The 21,339-nt window shown below is 50.6% G+C and overlaps 1 protein-coding gene across 5 annotated transcripts in view, besides 2 other annotated features; it reads left to right on the forward strand.

Moving 5' to 3' along the window:
• Nucleotides 1–21,339, forward strand: part of CDH4 (cadherin 4) — a 688,357-nt gene that overhangs the window by 352,284 nt on the left and 314,734 nt on the right. The gene's annotated exons all lie outside the window — the stretch shown is intronic.
• Nucleotides 3,836–4,036: a silencer, noted in NCBI's record as "peak4296 fragment used in MPRA reporter construct". NCBI's record gives its function as "represses an SCP1 promoter by STARR-seq MPRAs in K562 erythroleukemia cells {active_cell/tissue: K562}" and the evidence as "EXISTENCE:reporter gene assay evidence [ECO:0000049][PMID:32103011]".
• Nucleotides 13,922–14,423: an enhancer, noted in NCBI's record as "NANOG hESC enhancer chr20:60193522-60194023 (GRCh37/hg19 assembly coordinates)". NCBI's record gives its function as "activates a minimal SCP1, AML or CMV promoter by ChIP-STARR-seq in naive H9 embryonic stem cells {active_cell/tissue: H9 hESC(naive)}" and the evidence as "EXISTENCE:reporter gene assay evidence [ECO:0000049][PMID:30033119]".

Genomic DNA, 21,339 nt, shown 5'->3' on the forward strand with positions numbered 1-21,339 from the left:
TAGAAATCATCTCCCCACCTCGTGGGTAAGAAGGGAGGGAAGGGAAGTGAGGGGTGCCCTGGCTTGGGAGGTGTCTCGGTGTTTGATGTTTGTTCTTACTGACGCACTCCTTCCTGCACACATTTGAGAGCACACGTGCACATGCATCCCTCTAACACACAGACACGTGTAGATTTGTTTTTCCTGTCATTTCTTGGACAAGTCATTTGATAAATGGGCCGTTCTTCCATCCAGCAGCTTGCACTAATGGTCTAATTAGAAGCTCCTGGTGAATGTTGCTATGGGCGTCACTTCAGGAGAAATGGAAATAGGCCAGGGACCCTGGTATAATTTGAGGAAATGGCTACAGGAAGAGAGAGGCCTGGCCTGGAAGGACAGGTTCCTGCTGTCACCATCACCACCTCCCTGAATAGGGGCTGCGTCCAGGCTTGCTGGGGTCTGGGTGAAATGGTTCCATTATTTCAAGCTGGAAGTTTTGGTGCAGACAGTGTGGAAGGCTGGCCTCTCGTGGTGCCTGTTTTCAAGTCTCCATCAAATGCAATTCCACGCACTTGGGAAGACGTCACCCTTAAGATTAGGCAATGAGTGTGAGTTACTGTGATTGGAAGTAATGACCCCTGCCTGCCACTGGGCACAGGTAGGCAGCGAGGTATCTGCCACTGAGGAAATGTGGCTTTGGATGAATGCCCTCGGGGTGCAGGGGTGACGAAGGCCCCTCTGTGAAGCAAGGCCCAGGGCCCTGCTGCCTGTGGGGTGGGTCCTTGGTGGGGCCCACTCTGCCTCTCTCTCTCTGTGTGTCTCTCTCTGTCTCCCTATTTGTCTTTCTCTCCCTCTCTGTATCTCTGTCTCTCTGTCTCTACCTCTCTTTGTCTGTTTCTCTATGTATATCTGTCTCCCTCTCTCTCTTTCTCTGTCTCTGTCTCTCTATTTGTCTCTCCCTGTCTCTCTCCCCCCATGTCTCTCCCTTTCTGTCTCTCCCTTTCTGTCTCTCTCCTTCTGTCTCTGTCTCCCTGTTTCTCCCTCTCTCTGTCTCTGCCTCCCTGTCTCTCCCTCTGTCTCTGTTTCTGTCTCTCTCTCTGTCTCCCTGTCTCTCCCTCTCTCTGTCTCTATCTCTGTCTTTTTCTGGCTTGTTCTCATTCACTCTTTTCCTGCCTCTCCAACCCTGCTTTTCCTCTGTAACTCCTTTCCATGAAACAGTAAGCAGATTGCCGTGAGAAGCTGTGACCTGTGGTGCAGAATTCAGGTTTTGCACATGAGTGAAGGTCCTTGCAACATCTAGAATCTGGATCCTTGTACAGAGAGGGCAAAATTTTGTTCCCAGTAGCGGTCAAGGCTGTGGAGGAAAAAAAAAAAAAAAAAAACAGGAAACCAGGTAGAGAGTGATAAGCTGGTAAGTCAAGGACCTCAGCATGATTTGCCCCTGGGATGAGGAGGCCCTGGGTGGATGGACTCTGGAGCCAAACCTCTGGGCAATGCTGGGCAATGGCATCCCGCTGACTCTGAGGACACATGGGCCCAGGGTGCCTTGGAGCCAGGGCTGCCCGTGCAGGTGATGGGCATGGCAGAGTCCTGAGGCCGGGCTGAACGGCAAAGAGTGGTAGCCAGGGTTTGCAGGGCACCTCCCCCTGTGGCTCAATGTCCACGCAGCAGATGTGGATAGAAGGTGGCCAAGCAGACAGAGAATGGCAGAGAGACGGCCATTCCGATAAGCACCACCTCTGTGCCGGGCTCACTTCCAAGTGCTCTGCGTGCTGCCATTCCTTCCACAGCATGGGGGAGAGCTGCTGTGATCACCCATCCTACAGACGAGGGCACTGAGGCACAGAGAGGCTGAATGACTTCCCCAGAGTCACACAGCAGGTCAAGTGGGGGAGCTGGGATTTGAACCCAGACCCAGGCTGACTCCAGAGCTCACCTCTGTCGCAAAGCCTGACAGTCTCTCAGCTAAAATAGGGCCCACAAGTGCCCTGTCCTGTGAACACAGAGGTCCCTCTCCCTCTCCCAGTTCCTCTGCATATCTGAATGATTGCTGTTGGCAAAGGGGCCAGACCCCCAGGAAGTGGGCAGATTTGCTGCCTCCTGGTGTGGCCTCAGTGGCCTGTCCTGGGAAGTGCACCCCGCCGCTCCTCAGTTGTGTAGATTGGAGGCCTCCTTGGCTGCCATGGCTTGTGTCGTGCACACACCTGCTCAGGGCCAGTGACATTTTGGGGTCTAAATGTTGTAAGTGGAAACAAAGCAAATTTCTAATTTGCCTGAGGTTAAATGACTCTGTGTGGCCTTGCCTGAAGGTCCCTGGTGGGATGGATAGTGCGGGACACTGTCCCCTCCAGACCAGCTCCAGGCTACCGCCGGGATGTCCTGGTGAGCCCAGGGTGGCCAGAAATGATTTCTCCGACTGGCCTGCAGGAAACTGAGTCAAAGGTCTGCTGAGTAGCTTGGGACAGGGCTGAGGAGGGATAGAGCTGCTGGCCGGTCTGTGGTGGGTGACAGTGATGTGTCCATATCCTGCTCTGTTGACCTTTACAACCTTGTGGTAACACCATCACCGTTCTAACCTGCCTTTGCCACACAGACCTGAAACCCAGGCACCAACCTGAATATACAAGTTGGATGAAAAAACAAACACACCCCTCAATGTAGGACCAGACAGATTTTTAATCTGCGCACATATAAAGGTGGATTTTTCCCTAGCCCCAGGGTGCACTAACTGAGATGTTTTCCTTGCTAATATTTGTTTGCTTTTTTCCTTTCATAAAAGCACTAGGTAATACCATGACCTTCTGAAATGCAAATAGATTTTCTTTTTAATTCAGAAAGCCTTTTTATTCCACTTAAGATGAGAAGGTCCTGTTTGGAAAATACACTTGATGTCTCATACCCATTATTTATGATTTTCTCCTAAATTATTTTTCTTATAGACTTAAAAAAATGGAAAGCCCAACACATTAGTGCAGAAAGAGGGAACATGAGGCTGAAATGGTTGGCAGCTGCAAAACAGGCAACGATGTAATAAGATTAGAAAAAAAAGCATCTCTTTTTAAGGAGTTTTTCCGACACCTACGTGGACTCGCAATAGCATCTTAGAGGTCCCAGGTGAAGAGGAATCAGCATCATCAAGCCAGGGCCAAAGACCCACAACCTGCCAGGGCCAGTGTTGTCTTTACCTGGGCCAGGCTGCCCTCAGAGACTGGTTTAGCTCCTGCCCAAGTTGTTGCTGGATGATGCAAAGGTTGCCTTGGGAAGGTTTCTGCAGGAATAGGAAGCGGCTGTCCTTAGTAGCCAAAGACAGAAGGGAGGCTGGTTTGATGCTTTTGTTGTATGGACAGTTTGGAACCTGAGCCTGCCAGGCTTTGCCCGTGTCTCACAGTGCAGAGTCTCCCTACCCTCTCAACCCCAACACTTGGGTCTACACCTGAGGCTTCCTCCTCTCCTTTCCCTCATCCACATTCCTAGAACCCTGCCCTTGTTAGATTTCACACTCCACCAGTTTACAACTGAGCCTTTCCCCTCTCTGCATCTCCCCCTTCCATCATTCTCCCCTCGCCCCCAGACCCCAGGGTGTCTCCTGTGTTTCTGAGAAGATCCTGGGCTGCAGGACAAGGTAAAGCCACACCCGCTGCGGAGTTCTAGCCTAGATGTGTCTGCTTGTCATAACGCTTGATTAACCAGTCCAACCAGCATGCATAATTTGGCTGAGAGCAAATTTATTTCTAAGCCACGCAGGTTGGCAGGGAAATATCTTGATGTTATCTAGAAAGTGTTAATAAATTTACCAAATGGGTCCAGTCAAAGAGAAGTTGCAGCTATCATTCTGAGAACAAAGAGAAGAGTCTATGAAGAGACAGCCCACAAAGCATCCCTGTCCAAGTGGAACTGCTACGACCCCAGCACGTGTCCAGCAGCACCTGGCCCTGCAGCCTAGAGTCGTCAGGACCCTGGACAGTTCTCCAGGTCTCATGCGTGGTGATGGACGATTCTGCCCCACTGGGCGTTAAGGACTGCACTTGTTCTTCCTACTTGATCCTCTCAATTTTGCTTTATGGCATGGGAGTGCTCAACGCAGCCAAGAACGTGGTCCACCACAGCTCGCACTGCTCCCCTGGTTTTGTTCAGAAAGTTCTGCATGTTGGACGCTGTGCTCTCCTGGTCACTGGCCCACCACCTGCACTTCCTCATTGCTCTGTGGTTGGTGGTGGTGGTCAGCAGGCTGCAGGCGTCACTGCCACGGGTATCTGGAGGTATTTGCCAATGAAGCTGTCATGTGATCAGCCAAACGCGGGGTGGTGAGCACGACCTCCTAGATCACAGCAGATGTCCACCTTCCGTATGCAGAGCCATGCTGGCAGCTGGGGCCTTGGCCAACGCTGCTGCATTTGCTCTGTGGCACCTGCATCAAGACTGCCCTGTCGAGGCTAGGCTGTTGCAGCCTCACGTCTCCGGGAGGGCTGTTGGGGAAGCACAAGACCCTGAGCTCAGTGCCCAGCTCCTCCATCTTTTCCTGAATCACAAGCCAGTTTTCCTTCTCAGGTTTTGCGGCTACAGGGACCCCCTCAAGCATCATGTGTTTAGGGTATACGAATGTGGCATAACATTAGTGCAATCAAGCCATTATAGGAAGGACATCTCAGTATGTCTCTCTGAATCATCGTTGTAAAACCAAACACATGGACGTGTTCCCGTTGCTTGTGATGGAATCACTGGTGCGTGCTGATGTGATGGCCAGAAAATGACCACAGAGAAGACTTCATCTTTCCTGTTGCAGAATCCCCTCCAGTGTGTGCTCCACCGGGCAGCCTTTGCTTGGTGCTTTTCCTGTGATTTTGCGACAAGCACTGGCCTCGTGCAATGCAGCGGCCTCTGTCCAGGGCTGCCTAGATCTGCAGAAGGTTGTTTTTTTTCTTTCCAGTGTGTGTGTGTTTGTTTATAGAGTACTTTCGGCAGCTCCTTCCCAAGTTGAAACAAATTCCAAAAGAAGTGCATGGGGTGGCCCTCCCCTGAGGGAGGGACCTCTTGGAGAGAAGGTGGAGACCCAGCACACGACACGCAGCAAGTTCCACAGGGAAATTCCAGGAGATGTCACGTGCTCCTCATTCTCTGTCGGCTGAGCCTGAACCAGGCAGCAGGTGGCCACGCTTGGTCACCTCGTGTCTTCCCTAATCCAGTGGGTGTGCATGGCCTGTCTTTGCAGCAGCTCTGCACATGTGCGTCTCAGCATGCACTTGATTGCCATTTGAATGAGCTTGTCTGCGAATTCTCCACTCACATCCTTTGCCATTTAAAATTTGTTTTTCCTGTGTTTTTCTTCTATTTTTTTCTTTCCCATTAATATGTCAGTTGTACATATTTTGGGGATATGTGATGTTTTGTTACATGTATACAGTGTGCTGTGATCAAACCAGGATCATCGGGGTACCCATCACCTCAAACACTTATCTTTTCTTAGCTTTGGGAACATCATAATTCCTTCTGGCAATTTTGAAACATACAAAAAATGATGGTTAACTATAGTAACCCTACTGTACTATCAAACACTAGAACTTATTATTTTTGTCTCACTTGATGTTTGTACCCATGAACCGACCTCTCTTTATTCCTCTCAACCCCCCAGACACACTCCACTTTCCCAGGATCTGACATTCACCATTCTACCCTCTACCTCCATGAGGTCCATCATTTTAGCTCCCACCTGGGACTGAGAACGTGTGGTGTTTGTCTTTCAGTGATTGGCTTATTTTACATGAAATGACCTCCGGTTCCATCCATGTTGCTGCAAATGACAGAATTTCATTCTTTTTTATGGCTGAATACTATTCCACTGTGTACATGAACTACATTGTCTTTATCTATTTGTCCATTGATGGACACCAAAGTTGATTCCATCTCTTAGCTATTACAAATGCAGCTGCAAAAAAACTTGGGAGCGTAGCTATCTCTTCGAGACACCTGCTTTCCTTCCTTTAGGATGAGTGCCCAGCAGTGGGGTTGCTGGGTCATAGAGCAGTTCCATTCGTAGACTCTGAGGAGCCTCCGTGCTGTTCTGGAGGCGGTGGTCCTACCTCATGTTCCCTGCAGCAGCATATGAGGGCTCCCCTTTCCCTGCCTCCTTGCCGGCAGGATTTTTTCTGTTGGGTGAGGTCATATTTCCCCAAGTGTTCTTGATGCCTGTGGACATGTGATAGTGTCCGTGTTGAGGGATTAGGTGTCTATTTTAGTCTTTGCAGTCAGGTTTGCTTGTGCCTGTCCTTCAGATACGAATCCATTTCCTGAGCCTGTGACCCCTGCAGCCATCTCAGCACTAGAGGATACTGTAAGTCCAGGCTGGCCACAAGGCTATCAAGGGCTCCAGAGTGGACCTGCAGAAGACCCAGTAAGGGTGCTGGAGCTGTGTGGAAATGCTGGCCAGGGCTCAGAATCCAGAAGACCGTCTGGTGGCCCAGACGGCCATGCCTCCCAGCAGGTCTCTGCACAGGCACAATGGATCCCTGCCTAAAGCAAGAGGGGCTGCAGCTGAGACTGGGCCCCCTCAGGCTCTTCGGTGGGGTGGAGGCTGGAGAGCCTGGTCTCATTGGCTCAGAGGGTGCACGTCTCCCAGCAGGTTGGGATAGTCCCCAACTGCAGTGAGTGGGGCCGGAGCTTTCAGCCCCAGCCCCAGCCCCAGCCCCTTTCCTTCCTCTCCCTGGGGATCAGAGGGTGGGGCAAAAAGTTCCCATAATCTCTAGGTCTTTCTGGTGACCAGTCCCATCTGAGAATATACAGGGGTCCACCCTAAGTCACCTCATTAGCATAAACTCATAAGCATAGAGACGCTCCTAACACTTGTGAAATCCCAGGGCTCTGGGAGCTGAGCCGGGAACCTGGGCAAAGACCAAGTCAATCCCTGAGGATCTGCCATGGGATGAGGTTGGTGATCCCAGATTGCTGAGCCTGACAGGGAGGCTCAGACTCCCAGCCTGCGGGATGTGGGCAAGGCTCCCTCTGGCTTCCTGTGTGAGCACCTCTTTGCTGGGACCTCAGCTGAGTGGGGCTGGAGCTGCACCTCTGGGCCACATTTGGGTTCACTGCCAAGACTCATGTCAGAGGTCACAAGAGCTTTTCTGCCAACCCACTAGCATGAGCGATTCCTCCTGGACTTGGCAAATGTCTTGGTTGCACGCTCAGGCCAAACGAGGCTGTAGCCAAGCCGCTTGGGGGACAGGGCTGTTTCCAGGCTTGAACCGGGAAGCAAGCTCAGTGGGGTGGATCAGCCACCTGGGTGTGGATCTGAGCTCTCAAAAATGACTCTCCCACGTCTTGGGCTCCACCAGGGCTTCACGAACTCCTGCCTGAATCTGGAGGCTCCTGCAGAGAGACTTGTGACTGTGGATGGGCGAAAACTTCTTGTTGTGTGGGGGGATACGGGCGAGTCACCTTCTGTGTCACCATCCTGGTGACATCTTCAGCTCATGCATTTTTCTTGTGGTTTTGCAAAGGTTTCTTGGATATTACGCACATTGTTGATTTTGCCAGATAGCAAGTCTCCAATCTAGTACAATTATGGAATTTAAAAATTTTTTTTGAGTCATAAAAATGTGCATATTTTCAAGTACTTGCAATAATTTAATATACTCGTATAATTTGTAAAGATGAAATCAGTGTAATTGGGATATCCCATCACCTTAAATATTTATCATTTCTTTATGCTGGAAACATTCACATTATTCTCTTTTAGCTACTTCAAAATATACAATACATCATTATAACCTGTAGTTAACTACTGACCTGTCAAACACTAGGTCTTATTTCTTCTGTCAAACTGTATATTTGTAACCAATAATCAACCTCTCTTCCTGGTACTTTTGTCTATTTTTGAGGCCTGACGTATTTTGGGTGGACTTGCCTTTTTCTCATAATAGGATGCTGTGGGCATTCCTCCTTATCAGCAGCTGTGCCTCTCATCCCATGTTAATGAGGGTGCCATATGCATGCTGTGGTTGGACTCACACTTACCCAACCAAGGACAGCTGTCCACATGGTCACTTTTCCATCAAACCTGACTTTGCCGTGGGATTTGTTAAGACCATCCTTCCTGCTGAGGCCCAGAGTGGGGATGTAACCATGGCCAATTATGGACTTTCCCGAATGAAAAGCCCTTCATTCCGATGTTACAGCTTAGACTCGAGGGTCTAATTTAAGGACTCTCTACCTAGCTGCTGAGTTGAAAACAGCCTCCTAGTTTCTGCTAATGTGACGGTTTTGCATGCTGCATTTAGGCCTGTCACCCACAGGGCTTGGCTTTGGCATTTGGTGTGAGGTAGGGATTGCACACCTCTGCATTCTCCTCATTGGTCTCTTTGGTCTTTGGCCGTTTCTCTGCCTAATGTCTACTACAGGGAACTCAGCTCCTCAGGAGCATTCTTCCATCATCTCTGTGTTGTGTACAAAGCAGAAAACGACCATGAACAGCCAGCCACACCTCCAGGAGGGCCGATAAAGGTGTGAATTAGAGGTCCCTGCTTGCCCAGGGAGACAAGCTTGCAGTGTGAGGCTTCTCCTGCCCCTGCCGAGAGCGGTGTTTGCCTCGTCTCTTCATCTTTTCTCACCTCCACAAGTTTCCTCGGAAAAAACAGGGGCTTTTCTTCTTCTCCTGCCCCCTCTTGGTTTCACACTCTCTGTCCCCTTGACAGCCCCTAGTCTTTACCCAAGTGCTTCAGAAAACAAACACACTTTAAAGTCGTTTAAAGACCAGAGAGACACAGCTGCTGCCTTCCAGGCAGAGTGAGCTGGGAGGCTTCATTCTGAGTTTCTGAAGTAGCTCATCTCCAAGTGGTGCAGAAGTTCTTGCCAGATCTGGCCCAGGGCCGTGTGCGTAGGTCAGTCAGTGGAGGAACCCCAAGTGCCAGGTAACAATCTTCTCACCTCCTAATATCGCCCTAGACACATGCTTGTCTCTGTGTGGAGTATGCTTTTCTTCTATCACCTCCACAGTGGTGTTAGTCATTTATAAACTGTCCATCTGTGTGCAGAATCTAGGATGTGGTTCCAAAAACAAAATCTGGAAAAAAGGCTTCAAAAGAAAAAAAAAAAAAAAAGATCTAGTGAACTGGATACCTAAACCACTAGGGAAATAATTAATTTCAAGAAGGTAAAAGAAGCAGAGGGATGATGTGGGGAAGTCATTGGCTGTGTTCCCCTTCACTGCTTTCTACTTGAGCCCTTGAATTTGATTCTTGAGCTGGGCATGCAGTCCACAGCTCTTTGTGGAGCCATCGACTCTACAGACTTCTTGCTCTTTGGAGCTTGTTTCCAACATCCTGAAGCTCAAATTGGTGGGAGGGGGGGCTTTGGGGAGGAGCTCGTTTGTTTCCCCACAGTGGTTGCTGGCGCTTGATTTTTCCAAATGCAGCTTAAATGTTTGTATGTCTTGGGTTCCTTGTGATTGACAAACGTGACTAAGTCTCTGGTGCAGATGTTCGTCCTGCAGAGGCAGGTGGGTGTATGAGAGGAGAGGTGGCAGGGACGGACGTGTGGTGGAATGAGAAATTGACTTAGTCTTTGTCCAGGTTCCTGGCTCGGCTCCCAGAGCCTGGGATTTAGCAAGTGTTACGAGTGTCTCTATGCTTATGAGTTTATGCTAATGAAGTGACTTAGGGTGGACCCCTGTATATTCTCAGACAGGGCTGGTCACCAGAAAGACCTAGAGATTATGGGAACTTTTTGCCCCACCCTCTGACCCCAGGAAGAGAAAAGAAAGGGGCTGGGGCTGGAAGCTGAACCCTGTGAAAACCCCTGAACAGGAAGATACAGAGCTTTCAGGCTGTTGAGCAGGAGGGCGGGCACCTGGAGGGCAGGGAAGCTCCTGCGCCTCCCACACCTTTGCCCTCTCCATTTGTCTGTCCAGTAAACTTAAGCAAATTGTGTTCTGGGAGCCATTCTAGCAACAGACTGAGCCTGAGGAGGGTGTCCTGGGAACCGTCAGTCAGAAGCACAGGTGGCCGGTGCGTGGGACTGGCCTGCAGTGGGGGTTGTGTAGTGGGACCCAGCCCTTATCTGTGGAGTCTGCGCTGACGTGGGCAATTAGTGTCAGAATTGAATTGAATTCTGGACACCTAGTTTGGGTGTTGGAGAATTGGAGAATTGGTTGGTGTCAGAGAAAACACCCCAGAGAATGTAAGAAAAAAGCAAGGGAAAAAGAAAAGCCTCTTGTTTTTGTAGGTGGCCAGAGCTAAACCCATTTCTCAAAATTCAGTGAGGGGGTGACTCACTAATGGGGGCCCGCTCTTCAGGCTCCCTGAGGATGGGGATGAGGGTCACCTGCTCAGACCCAGGGGATGGGGCAGTGGGACAGCCTCCCAGCACCCACTTTCTCCCAGCACTGACTCCCAGCCCAGCCTCCCAGCACTGCGAGAGCTGCTTCAGCCCTGCTGTCCAGGTTTCATGTGAAAACAGTGAATCCCACCCACCCCAGAACACCAGAAACCAGGTGGACCCTGACTTCCAGTGGAAGAGGCCTCTGCTGGGAGGCCACTCTTCTGGCCAAGTTAGAGTTCTCTGCATTGGAAATGTGTTCATACATTTTGCTTTTTTTGTTGTTGTTTTTGTTTTTTTGGTTTTTTTTTTGAGACAGAGTCTCACTCTGTCACCCAGTCTGGAGTGCAGTGCATAATCTCAGCTCACTGCAGCCTCCACATCCTGGGTTCAAGCGATTCTCCTGTCTCAGCCTCCCGAGTATCTGGGATTATAGGTGTGCACCACCACGCCCAGCTAATTTTTGTATTTTTAGCAGAGATGTGGTTTCACGATGTTGGCCAGACTGGTCTTGAACTCCTGACCTCTGGTGATCCACCCACCTCGGCCTCCCAAAGTGCTGGGATGACAGGCATGAGCCCCCGTGCCTGGCCTATTTTGCATTTTTTAAGTGAGGAATGTCCCATAATGAAAACATAGATAATCACTGAAGCATCAGAGTGCCCACGTGCAGCTTATTTGCCAACTTTCAAGTTTCCAGCATTAATATTTTGTAAAGAAAAATAAATTAATGGATATTGGGGAGTTGGAAACTTCCTGCCTGTGACTCTGATGATTCAGGATTTGACATTTCCTTTAGTCTCTGCAGTGTCTTCAAGGAAAAGCATATATCTAGGCCCAGCTAGTTCTGTGGTTCCCAAGAGACATTGTCATTATCAATGTAGGGATGCGAGGGTTAGGAGAATTAATGATTTCTATGAAATCAGCATGTATAAAAGTGAGGGTAACTGAATCTTGCACTTCCGGATTTTGGGTGATGGTGAGGACAAAGGGAGCTGGGAATAGAACAGAATATCAGGTTGTGGAAGTTTCTCTGCCATTATCATCATTTTGGTCAAATGCCTTCGGTGGGGTCAGCCTCGCTGCTGGCTGGATTTTCAGCCCTGTCTCCTGTCTGAGAGGCCAAGAGAGCAGAGCGGGCCCCCGTGAAGGCCACGCGATGGCCACGGGATGAGGGACGTGGCTGCTGAGCCGCCTCGTGGCCACGGGCCCCCTGCGTCGTCCTGCCCTTGGGAACTCAGAGTGAGCCCTCCGCACAGAGAGCAGTGGGTGAGATCACAAAGCTCAATCAGAAGCTCAGGGGCACAGGCAGGGAGACTGCAGAGCTGGTGAACTTCCTCCCTGACACTGCACCAGCACTGCCGTCTCTGACCAGAAAGGCCGTGACAGGGGAGGTCCCATTTGCAGGTTCAGGCCCTGGGGATGCTGCCTCGCTGCCTTCCCTCGGGGAATCAGCCAGCCTCTGTGTGGGGCGGGTGGAGGTGCCCATCAGGGTTCTCATATCTGAAGCCCTTCCTGCAGCACCTTGGGGGACGTCAGTCTCTGGAGGACTCTGGAGACCCACTCCTGCATTGCCCACAGAGGAGGACAGTCCATAGCGCCTTCTTTCCACCACAGGAAACAGCAGCCCACCCTGTGGGAGTTGGGGAAGGCCCTTTTTTCCTCCACAGTAAGAGAGGATGCCAGGCAGGTTAGTGGGGTAAATAATAGAACTCTCTCCTGCTCCAGGGAGGGTCAGAGCTTACTGGTAGCATCTGAGCATTGATGAAGAGGGCAGGGCTGGACCTTACTTAGGGCAAAGCATAGCTCAGCCTCCCTGGAAGTTTTCTTTCAGCAAAGCTTGCTGTCATCATGGCCACCACAATGGGCTCTCTCCATTCTTGCTCTTCCTGGACCCCAAAAATGGTCATAGCCAGGTGGGTCCTTGCGTTTCTCTCCAAATGTTCTTGATTTCAGGGCTGACCTTCCCACTCTGCAGGGACGCAGGCCAGAAAACGCACCACTGCCCTGGCCTTGGCCCAGCACGTAGACCTGGTCAGGGTCCCCGCTGCACATCCAGGGGTTCTTCCTGGGTCCTGGGGCAGTGGGTCCATGGGGGGCTGCTGGGTGGAGGGGGGTGACTGGACCGGGTGCTGTGCGAAGGTGTCTCAGTGGAAAACAGAGGAACAAATAGCTCCTGAAATGTGCCTCTGAGCCTGCCCCTGTCACTATGGGACAGAAGAACACCCACAAGTGACTTGGAAGAACTGGCACTTGGTCCATTTCTCAAGAGTCATCCTGCAGAGGCTCATCGGCCTTGGCTCCCACCGCACCCACCACCGCCCTCTGTGCTGCTGCCTGCTTTGTTCTTTCAGAACATGCAGCCTGTCTGAACCCATACTTCCCACGCTGTGTCGTGTCTGCCTGTCTTTCCTCTTAGAAGCTAAGCCCCAGGAGGGCAGGGACTCCACTCTATCCGCAGATGTGTCCCCAGCACCTGGGGCCTGGTGTGGGGCAGTGCTCAGTGAGCAGTTAAGGCATGAATTGTCAACTGAAGACTCCCGAGGTCCCTGCGTTTGGAGAGGAGAGCTCTATTTCTCACAAAGCATTGTAGCTGCAGACAGCCATCCCACAGGCTGGGGAGTGAAGCCCCCATTGCAGGCTGAGAACGTCCCCCCATTCCCCGTTTTCAAGAAGTCATAGGAGGAGCATAAATACTTGCAAAAGGAGAAAATGCACAGGCACAGCTGAGCTTCGTGCCCCTTCGTGGGTCACAGGTTCGAAATCTGGGGGCGACAGCGTGGTCTGAGGGTGAAGTTTTCAGCCTCTGACGTGAAAAGGTGAAGCAGGGGGCATGAACGCCCTGAGCACAATCCTCCAAGAATCAGCTGGAACCGGTCCAGGGAGAGTGCTCAGGGTTTAGAGAGGGATACCTGTGAAACAGGTGCACTGTCACCCCAAAACTGCAAAGAGGGAGGAGAGGCCTGATAGGGTTTGGCTGTCTCCCCACCCAAATTTCATCTTGAATTGTAGCTCCCATAATTCCCACATGTTGAGGAGGGACCCGGTGGGAGGTAATTGAATCATGGAGGCGGTTTCTCCCATGCTGTTCTCATGGTAGTGAGTGAATGTCATGAGATCTGATGGTTTTGGAAGGGGTTTCCCCTTTTGCTTGGCTCTCATTCTCTTGCCTGCCGCCATGTAAGATGTGCCTTTCACCTTCTGCCACGATTGCGAGGCCTCCCCAGCCATGTGGAACTGTGAGTCCATTAAACCTCTTTTTCTTTATAAATTACCCAGTCTCGGGCAGGCCTTTATCAGCAGCCGTGAGAACAGACTAATACAGGGCCGGTGCTGGCCTCGGCTGGGTGGCTGAAGGCAACAAAGGCATGGGTGGCCCGGTTCTTGTTTTCCGGAGCCAGTTTCCGCTGCCTCCTCAGGAAAGCATCCTGGGTAAATGTTCGTGAGAAAGGGGTTCACTGAGGGGAGTCTGGCCTCCCATCCCATCCTGGCTGGGAGCGTTGTTTTTCAGGTTTCTCTGGGGTCCCCTTGGCTGAGATGGGGTCCGTTCAGCTGGCTGAGGGGATTTTATTTTTATTTCTCTGAATGAATCAACAAAGGACAAGCAAAAGAAGCAAGTGGGCCTCATGAGACTGGTTTGATGGTGGCACAGAGATGCCCGGGGGCAGGAGCGGGCCCTTCCACCTTGGTGTTGCTGCCTGGGAATGGGACCCCGGCCTGTGTGCTCAGCCCTTGGAACCCAGGATCCAGTCCCCCAAATCAATGACTGGAGGTGCATCCAGCACCCGGCATGGTCCTGGTTATGGAGCAATTCAGCGGTGCTGGGCAGATGGATCTCAGAGTTCGCTGTATCACGGGTACTCTGAGATTCAGAGCATCCCTGTGGAGGCCCCTATTGTTTCGGTTAACTGAGAATTCACTCGTGTGAGCAATGCAGATGTGTTGCTCTTTATTGCCTGAGGACTGAGGTTTCTATGGCAAGTGGTGAATTCAGAGAGGGGTAGAGACCAGGGGCCAACGGGGTGACTTTCCAGCCTTCTGTTCTTTCTGTGGCTCTGAAATTGGAGCCAAGAAGAGCGTGCAGGCTGGCTTACAACGCTGCACCCAGGGCCCGGGATGTGCCTCCCACAGATACCTCAACAATAGGAGATCTGAAGTTGGCAGCAGAGACCCCAGTTCACTGCCCTCTTCCTTTCCAGAGCAGCAAGTCTTGGCGTGGCCCCTGCCCAGTGATAGTGAATAAAGAAACAGGCCTGGCCCAGCTGCAGTTGCACACCTAGCCCTGCTATGTGCTTGGCAGGTCTCAGACATTGCCACCCTGCAGATACAGGTGATGCTTTGCTATTGAGGAGCAGATTGGGGCATGTCTGCTGGGTTCGGTCACCCTGACTGGACACTTGCTGGATGAAACTAGCCCCAGCCCCAGCCCCAGCTGCCATTCCCTCCCGCCTCTCTTCCACCTCCGCGTGCCCCCCACTCCTTCACCTCTGTGCTTCCTGCTATGTGATGTGGTCTCCTGGAGTTAGAAGGAGGATAACTATCAATCAAATGATTTCTGGAACTTGTGGGAAGCCCCAGTATCTATTTTTTAAAACGCAAATAATTTTTTTTCATTCCCTAAACTATACCTAAAAGCAAAATGATGATTAGAACTCTCTGAGTTTGGCACAGAGTGAGAGCTTCAGTAGATGTGAACCATCCACTGCTGGCCCCGGGCCACCCCTCACACCGAAGAAGAGTGAGCTTTGTTTCCAGGACAGAGCGATGTCTGCTCAAGTCTGGTTCAGGCTGTGTGAGGCTCTCCTGGTCTCCATTCTCAGAGAGCACAGGGTCCAGCATTCAATTTGGGGTGGTGACTATGTCAAGCCGTTGTGATCTGTATCCTCACGTGAGCGCTGTTGGACGGGGCTGAGTTTTCCACACAAAGAGGTTGCCGATGCCCGGGTGGGAGGGCACTCAGGAACCTACACAACAGGGAAGAGGGGCTGGCACTCACTTGTCAGAGTTTGCAGCAAGAGGGGAAGTTGCCGTAGGGCCTCTGATGATGGCAGCGCTGGGGCCTGACGGCCGAGCATCAGCGCCAGGCACATCCGAGCCAAGCACAGCTGCACCAGGGCCTCCATGACGCTTGTTCTGCTTCTGTTGGGACATCGGCAGAAGGGAGAACTACAGCTGGTAATGGGCCCAGCATTCAGGGGGAGCCAGGCAGGGATCACAGCTGCTTGCAAGGCCTGTCCTCCCTGGCTTCCTGAGTCAGCTCAGAGATGAAAGGCCCAGAGGGGTCAGGAAAGAAAGGGTGCACTGGGTACCACTTGGAAAGATGGTTTGGATGGATGGATGGATGGATGGGTGGGTGGGTGGATGGATGGATGGATGGACAGACAGGCAGGCTGGTAGGCAGACAGACAGACATAGATGGGTAGATAGATGATGGATGGGTGGGTAGATGGTTGATGGATGGATGATAGATGGTAGGTAGATAGGTAGGTAGATGGATGGATGGATAGATGGATGGATAGATAGATGATGATGATGGATGATAGATACATGATAGATACCTAGATAATGGATGGATAGATAGATGGATGATGGATGGATAGATAATAGATGCTTGATGGATGGATGATTGATAGATGATGGATGGATAGATAGATGGATGATGGATGGATGATAGATGATAGATTCGTACATACATACATACATACATGATAGATAGGCAGAGATACATGGAGAAATAAAGAGGTGGATAGAGAGACAAATCTTGCTATAGCAGGAAAAATAGTGGTGAAAATTGCTACTTACCAACATGCTCCATAATTTATTAACAAAGATATTTAAATTATTTTAATTTTAGTTCATTTAATTGAAACCAACATCTTTCCCTTTAGGCTCCTGGGAGAGCAATGTTTGTTTCTTTGTGTTTGTTTGTTTACTTGTTTGCAGAGGCTGGTCTCATATGTTGTAATACGAATCAGGTAGAAAATGGACACATTCTCCCTGGCCATGCCATCCCGGTTATCAAACAGGAATGTCAAGCCCATTTTCCCAGCGCCTCCACCACCCTGGTGAGTGCCCCCAGACTGCTGAGAGGCGCTTCTTCCACGCGGGAAGGTTCAGCTTTCCTGGGTCTCTGGTTCATCCCAAGTCAGGCTGTTTGCTCTCGATCATGTCTGCAGGTTTGTGGAGATTTATCTGTGTCCAAATAAGCGTTGGCATCTGTTTCTGTTTTCCAACCACACTGTTAATATTTGTTCTAGTGAAACATATCTTAAGATGGCGCCGTCAGTATTTCTTTAGTCAAAGGTGAGCATTGTGAACTGAGATTTCTGTAGAAAGCTGACCATCAGGCGGAGTGTGCATGTAAGAAAGTCTCCAATGGACCGCGGTTCCGGTCAGGGCCGGCTGCTAGTGTTGGCTATTTGCTTCTGTACTGCCCTGCTTCCTAGAACGCGCTGTCAAGATCTGTTTGACATTCTGTAACTCTTTCTCCAACAACAGCCTGTCTCCTCTGCTGACAGCGAACATGCCTCGGATGAAAGTTCATTAGTCTATTGAAACATTTCAGTTAATTGCAAAGCGAGAACCCAGAATTGTCAAGTTCATATTTCCATCTGTGCATGAGCATGGTAATAAAGAATTTTTTGGATAGGTTAATTTGCCTAAAATACCATGCAGTCAATCAGAGTAACAAAGTTGTTGCTGCCTGCCTCTGTCAGGCAGGGCTTTCATCACCGTCCTTCTCCGGGAGAACATCGCTGGCTCGTACGAATTGGCAGAAATACAGCACACACGAGCATCAGCTGCAGAGGGAAATATTATTCCAGAGCAAAGCACCCAACAGCTGGGCATTGCACTAGCAAGGCTAGTTTATAGTTCAAGGTCTTTTTTGTAAGTAAAAGATAGCCACTGAGACATAAGATGGCTTTAATATTTAATTCAGATTGTTGATACTATTTACATTTGTTAATTTTATATTTTACTTAATTTGCCACAGATGAAAACGCTCTTTGGAATGAAGTGTGTGTGCTTCTCTCTGAAGATCCCTAATATACATAGGTGTTTAATTTAAAAATAAAAACAGATGAAGTGCATAAACTATAATTATTAAAATAGGCTCCTGTCAAAGCTCTGTGTTCCCATCCATGTAGGAAGCATGCTCTGCAGGTCCCAGCAGCCGGTTGTTAATCTGTGCCGATCGCCTCACAGTTGCGTCTTGCCCTATCACGGCAGGCCTCCTATTAGGATCAATACTCAAGGGTTGGCTGCTCACTGAATGCCAGGGATATCATCCAGCAGCAGTACATGCCACAAAAGGAGAAGCTGGGTCTCGATGCTCCACGTCTGTAACTGCGAAACGCAGACTGCTCCTGTTGGCTGCATTTAAGGTGCCACCGCCTCCTCCCCACCCATGTGTTTATGGAGTAATGTGCTTATGGAAAGGACCTAGGTGGCCGCTGAGTTTTATGCACGGGGGCCACCTCCTTCCCTCAGAAAGGGGAGAGGCCCCTGCTATGTACTCCCTGGGGCAGGTAGTTTGCTGAGAGTTAAGAGGTGTCAGTCTGTCAGGCATACCCCGGGTGCAAGAAGTGAGACATTTCTTGGATGGCTGGTGTTTGAGAAGCTGATGTCAGGACATGATGGAGCTTGGCTGCAGCATCCGAGGACCAGACACTTGTGGCCCATGCCAAAGAGTCTGACAGGGAGACAGAGGGTCCTAAAGCTGCCCCAGCACAGTAGCCTCCTGCTGCACATGGCCCAGGCCCTTGCTACGGAAGACTCACCTAAAACTCTGCAAACAGAAAACGTCAGTGACAGGGACAGCATGCCACTGGAGTGGGGTTTCCTGACCTCAGCACTTGGGATTGGATAACTCTCTGTAGGGGCTGCCCTGTGCATTGTGGGGTACTTACCTGCATCCGTGGTCTCTGCCCAGTAGATGCCAGTAGCACCCACCCTGCCCAGTTGTGACAGCCAAGACCATCTCCAAACGTTGCCCCATCCCCTGGGGACAGAATTGCCCCCAGCTGAGAATCCCTGCATTTGAGTTAGAGGGGACCTGAATCAGGGGAGGTGGCTGCGGAGTTTAAGAGCCTCGCAGTCATGGGTGCTCACTGAGGGCCCAGGAGGCCTGGAGCCCTCACTCGGAAGCTGCTTGGGACAGTGGGATAGGCCTGTTACCAACATGGACCACAACCAGTCATTTAAGACAGTCAGGGAAACAAACGGGGAGGTGCCTTAGAGGCAAAGCTTCATTTAAAATAATGACATAAGACGTGTGGGTTGGAGATGGATGCAGAGAAGTGGAGTTTCCAGATGAGGATGTGGAGGTGGGAGTAGAAGGGCCTGGGTTCAAATCTCGACCCTGCCTATGCCAGCCGCTGGCTCACCCCACCTGCCACGCTGCACCCCACTCACCACACTGCGGCGCCTGCTTTTTCCTTGAGCATCTGGGACGTCTGTCATCAGCAGACAGCTGCTGGTTTCCGTGGCTGCCTTCCTAGGGGAGCATGGTGACAGCTTCCTGTCTGTTACCTTTCCCCACCCCATCACAAAGCCCCCTTTAAACTCCCGTTTAGAACAGTGATTGAAGGTGCTAATTTCACATTGTCTTCTTTATATAGATTACACCTTCCAAAGCCTTCAGAAATACCATTACAATGAAAACAATTTCAAGAGCAAATTGAATACCTAAAAAAGTATAATTAATCAAACCATATCAAGAGAGCCCGCAGGGTCATCAAGAGCTAGACCCAGCGGCCGTGTTGTCTTTCCTCTACATGAGCATCATTCGTGCAAAGTGCATCACAGCTGATTCTGAGGGAGGTTCTGACGTCACCACGCAGCCCTGGGGACCAGCCATCCCCAGGAGAAGGCTGGTTTTAGTGCATCACTGAGCGCAAAGTATTTTTGCAATCAGAAAATAAAAGGTACCCAGAATCTGAGCAGGAAAGACACGGTTCCTAGAGCGAGGAACACCCCAGAATCTGAGCAGGAAGGACACGGTTCCTAGAGCGAGGAACACCCCAGAATCTGAGCAGGAAGGACACGGTTCCTAGAGCGAGGAACACCCCAGAATCTGAGGAGGAAAGACACGGTTCCTAGAGCGAGGAACACCCCAGAATCTGAGCAGGAAAGACACGGTTCCTAGAGCGAGGAACAGTGCATCCACCATCAGATGCTGGTGTGCAAATCTGGTTCCAACGTTTTCTCGCTCCCTGTCTTTTGGCAAGTATCCTGTTCTCTCTGGAGCTGCATTTCCTCATCTGTGAAGTGAAGTGAGCACGGTTCACAGCTCAGAAGGCTGCTAGAAGGGTAAAACTCCATGACCCAAGCATCCGGTCAGTGTTCCCCAAAGCCGTCGTGCTAGGCCATGCTCACCTGGGGACCTCACCTCAGGAATCGGGAAGATACTAGCAGTCGCTAAGTGGCTTACTGAGAGAGGTCTAAATAAGTCCCACAATTTACTGTTCTTTCCCACAAGTCATCCTGAAAGCCATAGCAATGACTGTTGGACCCAAGGTATCCAATGACCAAGTCCCAGCATCGGGCAGACATGGAGTCAGGGCTTGTTGGTCACTGAATCCCTCTCTGGAATCACAGATGCACCCCAGGAGAGAGGCTTAGCTCACAGCAAGGAACCTGGCTTTCTCCCTTCCCCAGCTCCCCCTGATCCAGACAGGAGTGAGGATGTCTGAAGGGTTGTGTCCACCAAATGGCCTCCAAGGCCAGGCAGCCAGGAGACCAAGCCTCAGTGGCCAAACCTGGGATCTCTGGAATCGAGATCCTCAGCTTGATGACAGGGACAAAGAGAGGAAAAGACAAAGTCAACTTCGAGGGCAAAAAGACTTCAGAAGAACTGGACCAGGGGCCCAGGGAAAGCAGTGGTGAATTCTCTGTTGAGGAGAAAACAGAGCCAGGTTTACAAAGAGCTGCAGGGCATGTTTGCAGAAGGAAGAAGAGTCGGGGCATTCTGAGCTCTAGGGAGCCGACGCTGGCATGGGGGATAGTACAGACCCGCTCGGAGAGCCCCTCACCGCCTGCCAGGCGCCCCTTGATCCCAGAAACACCATCTGCAGAACCTGCAGCATAGGAGGCCAGGAAACAGATAGAGCAGTTGACTGGGGCCACAGAATAACTGGCAGGTGAGCTGAACCCAGTTAATTATAATCGCAGACACATTGTAAGGCCCAGAACCCAAGTTGAGCAAGAGGGGCTTTTGTTTCCGAGTCATGGGGCTAGGGAGATTCCTGGGCCTCTCGTGTTGCCCTTTGAGGCTGAAGTGTCTAATAGGACGTGTAAGAATCCCCACAAAACTCACCAGGGCGGGACGAGAGGGAAGCACCTCTCCCGAGCTGTGCATGGACTATCTGTGAGGTCTCCAGAGGCACCCGGACCCAGGCGTGATCCTAGTCTGCTCACTCGACCGCAGGGAGGGAGAGGCATTTTGACCAAGTTTGTTTCTCTGTGGATTTAATTAGTATATTCATTCAACATTCAAATATTTAAGGAGTTTTTTTTTCTTTCTCCATGACATCAGAAATCTCTGACATTTGCTGAACCAGCTTGGCATCTTTATTATGGATTTGGATGTGAGGCGTCCACAGTTTTGAGCAGTCTGCGTGATAGTTTGTTCCAAAGAGCGCATGTGGGAGTCGGAAGCATGACAAACACAGGGCTATATTAGGGTCAGGAATAACGATCATCTGCTTATCATGAGAACAAATATCAGCAGATCAATGAAAACAAATCTCAAAGCAGCGAAAACAACATGATTTTCAAGAGGAAAAAACAGGGTTTTTAAATTTTGTTTTTCAGGATTGCTTTTAGACTTGGTTGTATGAGCAGACACCGTTCAGATGCTTGCAGCCTCCACACTTCACAAAATTAATGTCGTAACAGACCCAAGAGTTACCATCATGGGTTCATCTTCTGAGCCCCGTGTTCACCTTCAGCACAGGGCAGTTATACCACATCATCTGTACTTACCAGATAAGGATGCCAAGGCTCAAGGAGACTGTGACCTACCAGGGTCTATAGCTGAGCTATCACTTGGCC

This window comes from Homo sapiens, chromosome 20 (assembly GCF_000001405.40).
Source record: "Homo sapiens chromosome 20, GRCh38.p14 Primary Assembly".
Taxonomy (NCBI): Eukaryota; Metazoa; Chordata; class Mammalia; order Primates; family Hominidae; genus Homo; species Homo sapiens.